This window comes from Homo sapiens, chromosome 6 (assembly GCF_000001405.40).
Source record: "Homo sapiens chromosome 6, GRCh38.p14 Primary Assembly".
NCBI lineage: Eukaryota > Metazoa > Chordata > Mammalia > Primates > Hominidae > Homo > Homo sapiens.
In genome coordinates this window covers 114,148,168-114,164,907 of record NC_000006.12, presented here as the reverse complement: position 1 = coordinate 114,164,907, position 16,740 = coordinate 114,148,168, and the positions used below count along the sequence as shown (strand labels likewise).

Below are 16,740 nucleotides of genomic sequence, written 5' to 3'. Positions count from 1 at the left end.
ATGAGTTATTAAGCACATGCTTCAGTTATTATGATAGTAAAAATGGCTCAGTCTTATAAAACTGTGAGGTGCTTTCTGTTTCTTAGCACTTAATTGCATTCCTACCGAGTTTAGATAATGTCATTAATCTCAGCATGTGACATAGTATATTTATTTAAATTTAAGAAAATTACCCAAATTTCTTTCTATTCTTTTGTTTAGACTTATATACGTTTATTTCAGAATTACTTACTCCAGATGTTTTAAGAATTGTATTTTAACCCAAATGAGAACAGGCAACTTAACCAATACTTTAGACGGTATTTTAGAAGTCAAAAAGAAGTTAAGAAACCAGTTTTAGATGTCCTTTGTCAAAGCCTGCCTAGAGGAGGCCTCTGCTTCCAAGATATACTGCTGAGATGGAGAATCTATGATCAATTGCTGAATTTCATCTGGCCAATTTCAACTGTCAAGTATTTCTAAAAATATAGGCCTGTGACAATAACACATTGGACTTTGTTCATAGCCTCCTTAGTATTTGCAGTTTATCATTATTGTTAATTATTAAGCATTTTGATGGCAGAATGGGTTGCAAGAATAATGATCACAGTCACACAGCAACAAATGGCTAATTTGGGGGTATAGTCCTCAGTTTCAAAGGTATTTTGTAAACTGTAAGGTATTTTGTAAAGGTATTTTCTAAACTATACAAATATTATTTATAGGAATAATTTTTATAATACCAAATTATGTTTTTATGCAAGATAGTGAAATAGCAAAAAAAATCCTACATATTTTACTTTAAAAGTATTCATCAGCATGTGTTCTTTGACATATAACAGGATGTCTGTGAGAAGACTCATGAGAATTATAATAATATCTGCTCTTAATAAAGTACCAGCTGTATGCCAGACACTTTAAAATGGATCATTCTTAGTCTTCAGAACATTAGTTCAAGGAGATTTTGTTGTCTTCTTATACAGCTGAGAAAACTGCAGCTAAGATAGGTTCATAAGTAGATTAGTAAACTAATAAATGGTAGAACCACAATTCAAACCCAGATCTTTTAGACCCCTCTGCCCATGCTCTTTAACTATAAGAGAGGCTAGGAGTGAAAAAGAAAAACTCTCAAATAGAAACAATGATCGACAGATACATTAATTAATTAGTTAAGTAATAGTAGCTACCATTTATTAACAGGCCAGGTACTGGGTTAGCTGCCTTAGAGACCTTAAGTTCATTATCCTAGTAAACAGCTCAAAAGAGTTCATTCATCTCAGATTTTTCAAATAAATTAGAAATTAATATTCTCATTTGCCTTATGAGAGGTTTAACGTTCAAAGACATTGAGTAACTGACACAAAATGGCACACCTAGAGAAGAGCAGATCTAAGTTACCAATTCAGGTCTTGTCAAGTTCTAAAAATCCATATTCTTTCCACTAAATAATATTATATGCTAAAACATATGTCTTATTTATACAATAAAGACTCTGGACTACTGCGTACTTACCTTTTTTTCTTTTAACTTATTCTTGGGACGATTTCAGTTTTATTTAAAACTTACCGAGCTTTATGATATTCAGGAACTTTCAGATAGTTAGTATTAGCCCGACGAATATGGACTAGTTTGTGTTTATTCTAATGCTGCCCATGATTTCTGAGTCAGATTTTTACATTATAAATCTCATGTGCTCAATTTGTATTTCATAGTCTACAATTTCACTAAGAACTTTAAAAACGAAAGAGAATTTATTAAACTCAGGAAAACTGCCTCACATATGTAAATTGCTGCTCTGAAATACCACAAGTCACAAATACAACTGAATAGCTTTCATCCTAATCATATAAGAAGCCTAGAACAGCATTTTGCATTCATTCATTAAACAAGTGTCCATTGATGGCCAACTATTTTTATAGCGTTGTGCTGGGGACATTGGCAGATAATAATTCAAAACCCCCCGCCCTCAAAGAACTTTACAAATTAATTAAGGAGAAAAGGCAGGGTAACCATTAAGTAACAAAAGCCAAAGTTACGTAATATTGCAACTGTGAAATAAATCATGCTTAAAAAAAAGAGTGCTCCAACTTCATGGCTGGAGGTGCTGACTATGGGTTGAAGTGGTCAGAAGGACTCCAGAAAGGAAGGTAACTGGGTCAGCAGAGAGGATGGACAGCACTGGTCAGGCAGGTGCATGTGGTGCAAGTGGCCAGGAAGCAGATTCATTTATTGTTCTGAAGGTTTGTGCAAGGGAACTGGAAAAGACTGGAAAAGGAGGTGAGGCCAGACAGCCAAAGGCTTTGATTTTAGCTAAAGACTCTGGCCTGTGGCCTCCAAGTGATAGGGAGTCATTGTACACTTTTGAGCAGGGGAGTGACATCATTAAAGTAGTCCTTTAAAAAAGATTAATCTGGCAGGACTAGGCAGGATGGATTGGTGGAAAAAGAACAGGAGCAAAGAAACTACTGCAATAATTCAGGTATAAGGTGATGAGGTTCTGGGCAGAAGTGATAACAGGAACAGAAGGAAAGAAATTAATGTAAGAGATAGTTCAAAGGAAGACGTGACAGAAGGTGATGACTAGATGTGGGAGGAGAACAGACAAAATACACTAATTTTAAATCCTATTTGGAAACTTTTATAGTTTATAAAATGTATGGAGTTCACGAGACATTATATATAATATTCCTGGCCTGAGATGCCACTGGATCCAAGGAAGATGTTGCTTTTACTCGACGTAGCACTTCTTTTAGCAAAATCTAAAGGACACTGCTGCATTTTAAGAGATAATAAATTCTATTATAAAAATTACTGAGAGAATAATTTTATCTTTATGTCACAATAATAATAACTGCAGATACAGAATGGCAGCACAATTAGATGAAAATTCAACTAAAAAATGATGTTTCATTTACCTCCAAAATTCTATTTTATTAATTTAGATTTCTAAATTAATTTTCTACCAAATTGGCTTTTTAAAATGTGAATTGATTAAGTCTAGATTTGATTATTTTCACAAATATGTTAATATGATTTTCCAGTAACTTGGGGGTTTTTGTGTCTTCATTTTAGGAATAATTCCATTGTCTTCAAAATATATTTGTATAATAATTACGTTACTTTCCAAGTGGAAAAATGCAGCCATAGAGAAAGTGATTTTATGATTTATCCAAAGTAGGGTGAGAGGTCAAGAATCTCTTCCTATGGGTCCAGTGGACTGTATATTAATAGATAAAAAAGATTAGAAAACAAGTAATATCATTTTTGATTGCTTATACTTAGTGAAAATATTGAGTGCCAGGCAAATGCAACCTTCTTCCCTAACACATACACACATACACGCCATTGCATTTTATATATATATATATATATATATATATATATATATATATATATATATATATATAAAACTTCAGGAAGCAACTGTCGTTTTAGAATTACTTAGATGCTGTTTTTAATGCATCAGGTAAAACATATCATGGCTTCTAATATTAATTCATTCTCCACTTAGCATTGTTAAAAATATTTATGATCTAGTATAGAGCAAAACATATTGTTATCCATTTTCCCCAGCTTTGATATAAAAGCATTCTTCAGTTGTTTCCTAAGGAGGAATGTTGTCAAAGTTTGATGGTAATTTATGTTGTCAGTCCATTAAGTTGATTTTATGGCAGCCAACACAACTATTGTCCATTTATGAGAAACCCGAGGACCAATCTAGGTCTCCACGAAGGCCGTTTGATATCTGCCCTCTCATATCGCTGACCTTGAGGGGAGTTGGGTTTGGTAATTTATGGCAAACACCATCTAGGAAGACCCATTTGCAAGATTCACTGTCATTTAGTTCTAAATGATCATTGCTGAGTCCAGAGACAATCTGAGCTCCTGACAGAGCAATCCCATAAAAAATATTGCCTACCCACCCAGGTGTCCTTTCCAATTATCTGGAGTAGAAATTAATACTTTTAAAAGCTGCTAGTTTTTGAAAGGTTATTACAATTTATTCCAGTGGTTTCTTTTGCACATTATGATGAATTAGTTTATTACACCATTATTTTCCATGTCAGCTTTTTAGAAGATTGAACCATAATGTTGAAACATTAGTGTGAATGGCAAACATACTATTTTATAGCTGAGTAACATATTTCTTTGAGAAAAATGTGTTCAGTTTTTAATAACAGGTAATTTTATGTTTATGTTCCCTAATGCTGTTGTCAGATATTATTTATTTCTTTTTGGTAAGAACTAGAGAACTTTCTTTTAAAATGTTAATGGTGCATTAGACAGATTTTAGAGTCATAGTAAGGATATATTACTGAAAAATAGAAAATATAAATTGTAAGTGTTTTTCCCTGAAAGCTAATACTTTCTAAGGTTTTCTTGACACTGATTTAATATATAGTTACTTCCAGGGAGAATCATACTTCTGTCTCAATATTTTCTCTAAATGTAGTTGGGGGAGGGGGAATTTCTAATTCATTTTTCTGAGATCTCAAGTTTTTCTTTAATGAAACTTCCTTATCTTAAATGACTGGCTTCATATGTCATTTGGAAGTATTTTGTAAAATAATATGAATTAGCACTTTGATAGAGATTTTTTTTTAGTCGTTCTCCATTCAATGTCTACTAGGATACTGAGAAAGTATTAGTAATTTCCTATTTAACCAGGTATTAAAAATAATCATGGTGTCAACAAAGATTGATAAGAAGTATTCTAAAGAGTACCCTGTATACTATCTTCATTCATACAGCAAATGCACGCCTATTGCTGCCAGGCATCATACAACTATGTGGAGTTGAGACACATCCATAACAACATTCTAGAAATGCAATCTTTTTATTCCTGTCACAATTATTTTTATTCCTACAGTTTTTAAAAATGCAATGCAGCTTTACAAAATTCTGAATCTTGTGTAAATTGAGCATGTAAACAAATGCAGTCACACTTTACAAGTTTTACATTTGCTACCTCCAATACAGCAAGTACTTGCCAAAGGAAATACTGATTTTTGTTTTCTCATCAAACATATTTGTTTCTTTAGCAAATGTTTGCAATACTGAAGTATTTGTTTTTATTGATCTATGACTGGAACAAATGTTAGTTTTAGCAGAATTAAGATTCAAGGCATTTCACAAATTTTTCCCATTGTGCCAGAAAATTTTTTGATAATGTCTTAGGCTTAAATGAGTTCCAAGGTTTCTTTTCAAATTTATATTGAAATCTAACATACACACAGAAAAATGTATACATTGTAAGTGTATAGCTCACTGGATTTTCACAAGGTGAGCCCGCCTGTGTAACTAGCACTTGGATCAAGAAACAGAAATCACCAGCATCCAACAAACACTTCTGTGTCCCCTTCCAGTTGTCACCTCCCAGCCCTTAATAACCATTCTCCTGACTCATGACACTGTAGATTAGATTTTCCTGTTTTTATGAACACAGTATAAACATAGTCATAACTTGGCATAATGTTTTTGACATTTATTTTCTTGGCTGTTTGTAGTTATACTTTGTTCTCATTGTCGCACAGTACATTCCATTGTTTAAATATATTTTACTTACCCAGCCTACTATTGATGATCACTGCTTTGATTCTAGTTTGGGGTTATTGAAAAAAATGCTACTATGAGCATTATTATACATGGCCTTTGGCAAAATATGAAAGCACCTCTGTTGGGTCTATTCCAAGGAGTGGAATGGCTGGGCCACAGAATAAATAGAAGTTCAGCTTTCATAGATATGGCCAACAAGTTTTCATGAGTTACTGGTAGTCTCACAGTTACTAGTTATGTTCTTTGGACTTCAGGATTAGACATAACTGGGAAGAATTGGGTAAATAATTTCTAGGTTTCTCTCAGGCCTAAAATTCTGTAATTCAGCCCTTCTTTACAATGGAGAGCATTGGCATAGATTTCAACAAAAGGCAGATAATGAGAATCTGCTATTTGGTTTTCTACTATATTTCTCTATTTGCATTTGCATCTGGATTTGACTGTTAATAAACCTGTGAAGTCACATTTTATGATAAATAAATGAAATTACAGCATTGAATGCAGAAAAGCTGAAAAGATTTTTGGTTTGCCCAATTATATGCTTCCCTGTAATACAGAACATTTTTTGCCAGGCTGATGGTAATAACTAGCTTAATGCAATGCCTTCTCTTCAGGGTTCCTGGTTATTCTCACTGGAGCAGAGCAGGAATTGTGTGTATGCATGGTATTTTGCAAAGAACAAGTCCTCAATACATTTTGGTTGAACATATTTATCCATTTTGTCAAATGGTTTTTTATGAGCTTTGGGGATTGCATAGAATCCTAGCTCTGCCAACTGACTTTTGCCAAATGCTTCATCTCCCTCAGCCTCATTTTCTTTGTCTGCTATGTGGAAAAAATAATAGTCCCTGCCTCCCAGATCACTGTGAGAACAAAATGACATAACACACATGAAGCACTTCACACATGTTAATAATAATAAATAAAGTCTACCCGTGATAAATACTCAGTAACTATTGGGTGGTGTTATAGATGTTTTTTCAATTTTAAGATGAGTATTCTTCCAACCTCTGCCTAAGATACTAAAGATTCTGCTGCTCATAATTTATGCATAGACAGACATGTTATATAATCAACTAGAATCTGACAATTAGATTTTATTCTTTCTTTTATTAATATTTCCACAAATATTTATTGAGTACCTTCTACATGCTATGCACTATGTAAGACACAGGGATTCCACCAGAAATAGTTCAGACACTGTCCACAGGCATACAAAGCTGTCGAGGCTTGCAAGTCCACAGACAGTTACAGTGCCATGGGACCAGGCATGAAGGGAGGATCCAGACACAATGAGTTTGCACAGTGGAGGCGCTGCTTCACTTCAGGAAGGTTTCCTGAAAGAAGTGACAGCTCCATTGACAGCTGATGGATGCAAAGGAGTTAATCAGGTTAGGGAGGAGTGGGGTTGTACAGGAACAAGAATGCAATAGGCAGAGGAGGCAGCATTAGAGAACAGAAAGATTTCAAGAAAGCCTGAAGCTTAGAAGCCTAAGTATGGGAGGTGAGGGGAGAAGGAAAAGTGTCAGAAAGGAAGGGGTAATGCTAAAAAAGCAAGCATTAAGGTTGTATAGACTGGACTCTTGGACTTTGGACTTTATCCTGAGGGTAATTAGAAGCCACTGATGGTTTCATTACTTTTTAATTTATAAATTAAAGTATGATTGGCAAATAAAAATTTTATATATTTGTGGTCTGTGTAATATTTTGATATATGTATACATTGTGAAATGATTAAATCAAGCTAATTAACTTATCACCTCACATACTTATCATTTATTGTTATAAGAACATTTAAGGTCTACTTTCTTAGCAATTTTTGAGTGTACAGTACACTATTATTAACCATAGTCACCACACTGTGTAATAAATCTCCCAAACTTATTTCTCCTATCTAACTGAAACTTTGTACCATTTGACCAACATCTTTCCATCCCCCTGCAACTCCCAGCCCCTGGCAACAATGATTATACTCTCAGAATAAGCCATTAAATGGATTTAAATGTGAATGTCTTGATCAGATTTGTATATTAGGAACAAAGTAAAGAATGAATTGGATGGGAATGAGACAGGAGGCAGGAAGACCAGTTAAGAGGCTGGGGCAGTAAACAGAGTAGAAGGTTACACTGGTCTGAATTCAGGTCTCAGCAGTGGGAACAGGGAGAAGAGGATGGGTAGAAAGTAGAAAGTATCACACTCGGAAATCTAGGATGGTACCTGTAATTCCATCCTGGACAATGGGGTGGATAGTCATGGAAGGAAAAGATGCAGAAGGAAGAGAAGGTGAGGGGTGGAAGACAGTGCATTTCACTGGGCATGTTAAGGTTGAAGTGCCTGTTATTATCTAACTGCAGAAGACATGTAAGTGTTGAATAAATAGCGTTGAGTTCAGGTGAGAAACCTTTTATGAAGATGTAAATAACATGGTAATTACAGCATCCTTGGACACAGGACAGGTTGCTTAAGCAGAGCTTGGAGTGAGAGGAGAAAGGCCTAGAACAGAGCCCTGAGGAAAAGCCATATTTAAGATAATAAGTGGAAGAAGAGAAACCTCAAAGAACACCGAGAAGGAATAGCTACAGAGATGGTAGGGAAATGTGAAGAGGGGGTTATCATGATGACCACTGAGATGAAATGTTTCTAGAAGAAGGGAATGAAAGGTCAATAGTGCCAGAGGCTGCCAAGATGTGAAATAAACTGGATATCGAGAAGTGTTAACACCAGATTTGTCAAAAAGGAGATCTGTGGCAACTCTGCTTAGAAGAGGCTGGCTTTGAGCAAACCAGGGTACAAATAATAAGTGGAACCACAACTAAAAGTTGATGAAATTCCAGGTAAATGTGATTCTTCAATAGCACACTACATAACTGTATATTTAAGAGAGTTACACTATCCGTTGTCTGTTAAATACATATTTTTAAACTTAAGCACAACTACAAAATACATACCAGTTTTGATCACAACAGGTTTTCCATCACTGTTTTGACATTTACCTTTGAATCATGCAAACGTTCTTTAGAAGAATATGAATTTTATGCCCTAATCCAATTGTTAGAAATTTGCCTCATGGTGAACCTCAGCTGAGGAGTCTGAAGAACCAGGAATGGGATGAGGGAGAAAATCCTCTTTGGAGAAATTCCTTTTGGAGATTTTTTGTTAATTTGGGAAAGAATAGGATGTGGAAGCTTAGTGTAGAGGGATTCCACATGGAAGGAAAGGTCCTGTCCTTGCGTGTACAGAGTCAAACTCAGAGAATAGACTCCTTGGAAGAAAAGTCGGTGATTCATTATTGTGAGTTAAGAGAAGACATGCTATAAATCACAAGCAGGAGAAACACCGGTTCTGGTTTCTCTGCCCTGTTTCACTGTTGAAAATTAATTTTCCTCAGGATTTGTTTTTTTCCTGGTGGCTGTTACTTACAGTATGGTCCACCCAGACTAGCTTATTCATTTCTACAGGCAGTTCCTGTTGGTGCACTAAGGTAGAAGCCTAGCAAATTAGTTTAGGGGGTTGTAGGAACTCTATGTGAAAGCACTGCTTCCATTTCAATCTATAAATACAGGGTGTGTTTATTACCACATTTCACACCAAGCCCAAGCCAGGTCAGTACGTGACGTTTGTGTTTAGAAGAGATTCGAAGGGATAGTGTTTGGGTAATTTTCCATTAAAAAATATACATTATGTCACTTAGGTGTATGATATAATGGGTTCCTTCTTGAACTCTGCATCTTCACAGAGTGGTTTTGTTGCTTAAAGGGTAGATGAGGTCGACACTCTAATTATATCTGTTTTATAGAAAGGTAAAGTCAGAATCTGAGAAATTAAGTCATTTGCCTAAGTAGGCATCTGGTAAGTAACAAGACCTGGATTCAAAACCAGATTTTTTTCACAGCAGCCTGGTGGAACTAGAGTAGCATGCTTGTCTTTTTTTCTTTTTTTCTCTTTTTTCCAAGTTTTGAATAGAATCCATTGGCTTGATTAACAGAAGACTAATATTTTGTTTTCTAATTCTACCACGGACTTCACTTTACTCTCTATTCTTTTTCTTCTTTCTTCTTTATATTTATTCGTGTCCTATTATTTATATCTCTACAGGCCACTTAAAACTGGCATGGGGATGAATAAGAGGACACTTTATTAAGTCACAAGATAATATTGTCATTAACAAAATTTGTATCATAATAAAATACAATATGTAAGAAGTAGAGTTAAACACATTAGCATTAAGCCTGAGAGATATTGTTCTACAAGATAATTAGCATAAATTTGTTCAACAAATACGTCTCAAGCACCTCCTACTCTAAGGGTGCCTCTCCGTGCTGGGTCAATGGCAGTGCACAGAATGCATGGCCTGCCCTCCCAGAGCGGACATTCCAGCTGGGGGTGGGGTGGTGGAGGGGAGACAGGCAGTAAATGCATATGTAACCAGAGCAATCGGGAAAGATAAGGCAAAGTCAAATGGATAGAAGATGCCCAGATGATGGGAGGAGAGAGGCTGCCTTCTTATGTATGGCAGTCAGGGAAGACTTATCAGTGAGATGACATTTGACAAAGGCCACAGGAAGCAAACCCTGCCCACATCTGCGTGAAGCACATCCCAGGAAGGAGCAACATGACCAGAAAATGCCAGAGGCAGGAACTTGCTACATGTTTATGTGCCCCTCCTCCTGCCTTCCCCCAAGCAAAGTAAGCAGATGAAGTGGGTGAGGGGAAGGGAGAATGGCAAGAGACTAAATAAGATGTGATGGGGTGCAGTAGTCTGACTTGTACAGGCTGGTACAAGCCCCTCAAGGATTTATTCAAATATGTCACAGTTACAATGAATATTGTTTTGATACATCTAATCTAAGTCTTTTTTTTAAACTGATTTCAAAAACAACAGACATGGAGTCTTGCTATGTTGCCCAGGTTGGTTTCAAACCCCTGGGCTAAAGCAACTTGCCTGCCTCAGCCTTCCAAAGTGCTGGGATTACAGGTGTGAGCCACCACACTCAGTCTCAATCCAAATTTTACCACCTTGCTTCTCTTTTGGGTTCCCTTTTCAGCTCTAAATAGTGCCAGCTGGAATATTGAGCAGGATCAGAAAATAAGCATGCTTTCACTCACCTCGCCTTCCCACTGAGGCAGGCAGCAATAATTGATCACAGACTTCTCTAGTCACACTGCAAAAAGTCAGAGCTGGCCAAGAAATGAACCATTCCAGACATAACCTTGAATACTCAGACATCTCCTTTCCCTTCTTACCTCTCCTTCGTTAATAGACTGCAGTCCCAAGAGCCAAACCTTCAGCATCTGGATTTGCCTTTGCTTCTGCCCACTTGTCTGAGACCCAGGAACTAAAACTTCCTGTGATCCTCTCTGCTCCCCACGAAACCCTCTCCTGCTCCTGTGCACATTCAGTCCCCCTGAGCCCCCTTGATAACCCTTCCCTGCTCACCACTGTGCAGTTGAAGGGACGTGAACAGCGAAGAGCTAAAAGCAAAATAATCTTGACCTTTCTGCATCTTAGTTTCCTCATCTGCAAAATGGGCCTCACCATGCCCAGCCTGCAGGATTGTTGTGAGTACTAAGATAGTAGTTATTAATAAGGTGACTATAGCTGACACCACTGAGTCCTTGATCTCATCAGAGGAAAAGAGAGGAGAAAAGAGGGCCCCAGGAACTTGAAACAGAAAAAACCAAGGTGAAAATTACTTACGTTTTTTACTGGCCTCCTAGTTTCACCACACTGCCACTTCTATCATACCTCACTGAGCACAGAAGAGCAAATGAATGAGATAAGACAGAATATGATAATCCAGGACAGAAATTTCATCTCTCCACCAATATGGTGCAACGGGAGTCTGCCCCATTGAGAAAATGAATACGAAGATGAGCATGAAGCAAATATTGCCATGGAGAGAGGATATGATTTTTCAGCAGGTAGGTGGGAAAAAGGAGTGGATCAGTGCAAATATAGAAACAGGCCACTTATAAAATTAGGAAATATAACGAAATCCCAATAGAACATGTAAATATTTCCACCTATACCTATTGTTATTTAATGGGGATTACTGGACATTATTCAATTAGCTATCCTGGAGCAGGGCTGACCTGGGTTTAGGACCTGGCACTCCCGCACCAGCATGGAACATACAAAAGGAGATATCCCAGCTGTTGGTACTGTGAGGAAGTCTAAACCAGGAGACAGAGCCCAGGATCCAAACGGCAGCTCTGCCCCCATTAACAGTACCGTGGGCATCAGGCAGTAAAAGGGTGTTTCAGTGAACAAGTTAAATACTGCAACTGGGAATATTCAAGCTGATAGGTAAAGTCTCAACCATTGGGTGGGGATCAGTGGCAAGACTTCAACTCCTTGTAGAGTCAAGAGGGGTGTGAGGGCTGAGAGAAAGACTAGGACTAGCCCAAAGCAAAATAAAGAGCATGAAAATTATTAGGCAGATCCCCAGGCAGATTCAGTTAACAAAACTGGGAGCCAATCATTCAAGATAAGGAAGATTTGGAATCACAGCTCAAAGCACAGGCCAAAGCCTCTAGCAGCAAAGGCTTCATGGGTGCTGAACTTTTACATCCCTCGCAGTAGAGACAGGGCCTGACTGCTCAAGGGGCAGGCCACTTGGGATCGCACTTACACTGGGAGGTTGGACCACAGGAAGAGAAAATGTGTCCAGGCGGAGAACTGAGCCAGCGCTGGCCCCTCTAACTTGACAAACTCTCAGCAAAATCCACTTTAGCCTCGACTTTCCTGAGCTGTAAGATGAAATTCTGAGAAGAAAGATGAGAAAAGCAAATCTGTAGAGTTGCCGGGAGCTTTCACACTCCTCCTTCTTTATAAAAACCAGTTTCTGCTTAGCTCAGGTAGTAACAGAATTATTTCTAATTACCTAAAATTTCTCCTCTAACTGGATTTCAGCAGGAAATGATATCCTCAAAAGCTTAAATTTCTGGAGTGAAAAATGTAAAAAGTTAAGAAGGTAGGAGTGTTAACAGTTAATGGATTATCAGAGTGGTATGTGCAGCATAGATGTGTACACTGAAACAAAGAAGTGTGAATTTGCAAGGAATAATTCTTTTTCTTTAAAAATAGAAAATGCATGCTAATATTGAGAATAGAAACTGAAATTTATTTTGCATAAGAAACATAAATTTATGGCCTGGCACGGTGGCTCATGGCTTTAATCCCAGCACTTTGGGAGGCCGAAGTGCGTCGATCACGAGGTCAGGAGTTCGAGACCATCCTGGCTAACAAGATGAAACCCCGTCTCTACTAAAAAATTCGCCGGGCATGGTGGCACGCGCCTGTAGTCCCAGCTACCCAGGAGGCTGAGGCAAAAGAATCGCTTGAAGCCGGGAGGCAGAGTTTGCAGTGAACCGAGATCACGCCACCGTACTCCAGCCTAGGCGACAGACCCTCCGTCTCAAAAATTAAAAAAAATAAAATAAAATAAACATAATTTTGAAATTGTCACCATATAATTAACCTAGCCACAAAGAATAGGCAATAAGAGCATAGCTGAATGTATTGAATTGAAAAATAATGACCTTGAAAACACTGGCACAGGAATTTATATTTTTCTATTTTAATTTATAGCTTGTGAAGTGTTGATATAATTTTCTACATTTTACATAATTTGGGAGTGTCTTCTTTCAAAGGAGCTTTAAATATATTGGAATTTATTGGGCAACTGCTAACTCAGAAGCAAGTGGTTGTCCATCTATTGGCTTCCAGAGAGAGGTTGCACTGGTTCATTTAGGCAACTGGAATCCCATTTACCAGAAAGCTAATCAACAAGATGGCTAGTTACATTTATGAGTATTTCTTTTAGAGGCATTTAGTTTCAATCCCACAGATGGTAGCTGCAGACCATTAGTTTCTGAGCCAAGCTTTTCAGTGTCCTATTGTACTTAGCAAGATTGCTATGCAGCAACACAATTATTCCAAATTCAGCAAGAGTCAGCGGGCCTAAAACAAAGCTATGCCATAACAATTTAATCCCAGCTCACCTTCCCCTTTGCTGGATAAATAATCAAACACCTGCTGAATTCTGTTCCATATAATGAGAACATCTTAGCAACAAAGATCAAAGAACACTGACATTTGATCTCTAAGTAGAACCCCATTATAAAAAAGGATTTTTATTACGTGGTGTCGGATAGCTATTTTGTGGGTCAGATAATGCTGGGACAAATAAACAATACCAAAAAATCCTAACTCAACATGATTAATTTGTAAGGCATGGGTCATTCCTTTGCCTCAGCATCAACATTTTTGAGTGCTTCATTCTATCAGAGTCAGCCATCTTTTGAATGACTTGTAAAACAGTCATTTAAAATGTACAGGGGCAAGCGAATATGTGCTTTCTGGTTTTTTATTCATGCTTTAAAAAAAGCAGTAAAAATGCAAGGTGAAAGGATATTAAGGATGTTTATCTTTCTAGTTGCACTAGAATTCCCACTTTCAAGAACAAGCAAAATAGTTTGAGCTTTGAAAATGTCCAAAACACACGTTTTCCAATGTAATTCACATAAGACAATTTGACGATTCCTTCTGGGGTTTCTTTTCATGCTTGCAGTGAATAAATAAATATGAGTACAAATGATAAGGCTTTCTTTCAGGATTTTATTATAATTGCTGAATACATCTCCTACACTCAGGCATTAACTCCTTCTCTGAATCTTTTTTAAAAAATATTGCATGTATGCTATAGAATGCAAATCCTCCTTTCCTTCTCCCATCACACCCAGACAGCTTGTGAAACCCCATATTCTTCATAAAACCTCTCTTGAATGAAAATGACATAGGGCTTTCACCTCCAGTCCTTCATATAAAGGTCTAATTGAAGCAGCTTTCCCCAGATTCTCTTCTCTGTAAAGGGCACTTGTACTATTTCTCATATATGAAGTAAATACTTATTTTGATGTATTTAGTCAAAAGGGCAGCTGGGCCTCTATACGTTTGCTTATGAGATTGCCTGTCTTAGGAAACTTTAATAAGTCAAACATTGAACAACAATCCTTTGGCACTGTGTGCCACTGGAACTTAATAGAGCTCAATGGTGTTTTTTATATTAGCGGTTGTGTGAACGTAGGCTATGTGACATCTAGATCTGTGTGAATACCACAGTGTGCACAAATAACAGTACAGATTAAAAACAAACTTAACAGGACATCCAAAGCCATTAATTGTATTGAAAGTATTCTTAAATTAAAACCATTTATGTGACAATATTGAGCAGAAGACTAGTTTTCAGTAAGAATATTTAATGGTCATCAAGAAAAACATAGTCATTTCCTACTCCCTATAGAATACAAATTCTTGTATTTAAAATTAACACTAGCCAAAAGTACCAGAGCATCCTCCTAACATGAATAGCCTCACTTATCTTTTGGCTAAATGTTAATCTAACCAACAAAGGGAAACTCTTTTAAGCCTGTCTCTTCTTGATATGACAGGATGCAGAATTACCACAATTTTGGACAGTATTTTAAATCATTCAGGACTACTTTTGAATAGTTGATAAAAACTAAACTTTTGTATATGTGTATTACACTTTTTTCCATGTAATATCAAAGTGGTGATATACCTCAGATTTAAAATTTGTGCTGACCTAAGAAATTTTTTTTTAATTTTTAAAATTTTACTTGAAGTTCCAGGACACATGTGCAGAATGTGCAGGCTTGTTACATGTGCCATGGTGGTTTGCTGCACCTATCAACCCACCATCTAAGTTTTAAGCCCCACATGCATTAGGTATTTGTCCTAATGCTCTCCCTCCCCTGCCCCCCACCTGCCAACAGGCCCCAGTGTGTGATGTTCCCCTCCCTGTGTCTATGTGTTCTCATTGTTCAACTCCCACTTATGAGTGAGAACATGTGGTGTTTGGTTTTCTGTTCCTGTGTTAGTTTGCTGAAAATGATGGCTTCCAGCTTCATCCATGTCCCTGCAAAGGACATGAACTCATCCTTTTTTATGGCTGCATAGTATTCCATGGTGTACATTTGCCACATTTTCTTTATCCAGTCTATCATTGATGGGCATTTGGGTTGGTTTCAAGTCTTTGCTATTGTAAATAGTGCTTCAATAAACATGTGTGTGCATGTGTCTTTATAGTAGAATGATTTGTAACCCTTTGGGTATATACCCAGTAATGGGATTGCTGAGTCAAATGGTATTTCTGGTTCTAGATCCTTGAGGAATCGCCACACTGTCTTCCACAATGGTTGAACTAATTTACACTCCCACCAACAGTGTAAAAATGTTTCTATTTCTCCACAGCCTCACCAGCATCTGTTGTTTCCTGACTTTTTAATAATCACCATTTTAACTGGTGTGAGATGGTATCTCACTGTGGTTTTGATTTGCATTTCTCTAATGATCAGTGATGATGAGCTTTCTTTCATGTTTGTTTGCCACATAAATGTCTTCTTTTGAGAAATGTCTGTTCATATCCTTTGCCCACTTTTTGATGGGGTTGTTTTTCTTGTAAATTTTTTAAGTTCCTTGTAGATTCTGGATATTACGACTGTCAGATGGGTAGATTGCAAAAATTTTCTCCCATTCTATAGGTTGCCTTTTCACTCTAATGCTAGTTTCTTTTGCCATGCAGAAGCTCTTTAGTTTAATTAGATCTTATTTGTCAATTATGGCTTTTGTTTCAATTGCTTTTGGTGTTTTAGTCATGAAGTCGGCATCCCTATGTCCTGAATGGTATTGCCTACGTTTTCTTCTAGGGTTTTATTATTTATTTTTTGAGACAGAGTTTCACTCTCATTGCCCAGGATGGAGTACAGTGGCGCGATCTTGGCTCTCTGCAACCTCCACCTCCTGGGTTCAAGCGATTCTCCTGCCCCAGCCTCCTGAGTAGCTGGGATTACAGGTGTCCGCCACCACACCCAGTTAATTTTTTTGTATTTTTAATAGAGACAGGGTTTCACCATGTTGGCCAGGCTGGTCTCGAACTCCTGACCTCAGGTGATCCACCCGCCTTGGCTTCCCAAAGTGCTGGGATTACAGGCATAAGCCACTGTGCCTGGCCTCTTCTAGGGTTTTTATGGTTTGGGGTTTTACATTAAGTCTTTAATCCATGTTGAGTTAATTTTTGTATAAGGTGTAAGGAAGGGGTCCAGTTTCACTTTTCTGCATATGGCTAGCCAGTTTTCCCAGTACCATTTATTAAATAGGGAATTCTTTTCCCATTGCTTGTT

At 37.4% G+C, this 16,740-nt stretch overlaps 1 protein-coding gene and 1 long non-coding RNA gene across 12 annotated transcripts in view; one reads left to right on the top strand and one right to left on the bottom strand.

Annotated features, from left to right (window-relative positions):
* Window positions 1–16,740, bottom strand: part of HDAC2-AS2 (HDAC2 and HS3ST5 antisense RNA 2) — a 371,029-nt gene that overhangs the window by 175,822 nt on the left and 178,467 nt on the right. The gene's annotated exons all lie outside the window — the stretch shown is intronic.
* Window positions 1–16,740, top strand: part of HS3ST5 (heparan sulfate-glucosamine 3-sulfotransferase 5) — a 287,428-nt gene that overhangs the window by 178,116 nt on the left and 92,572 nt on the right. The gene's annotated exons all lie outside the window — the stretch shown is intronic.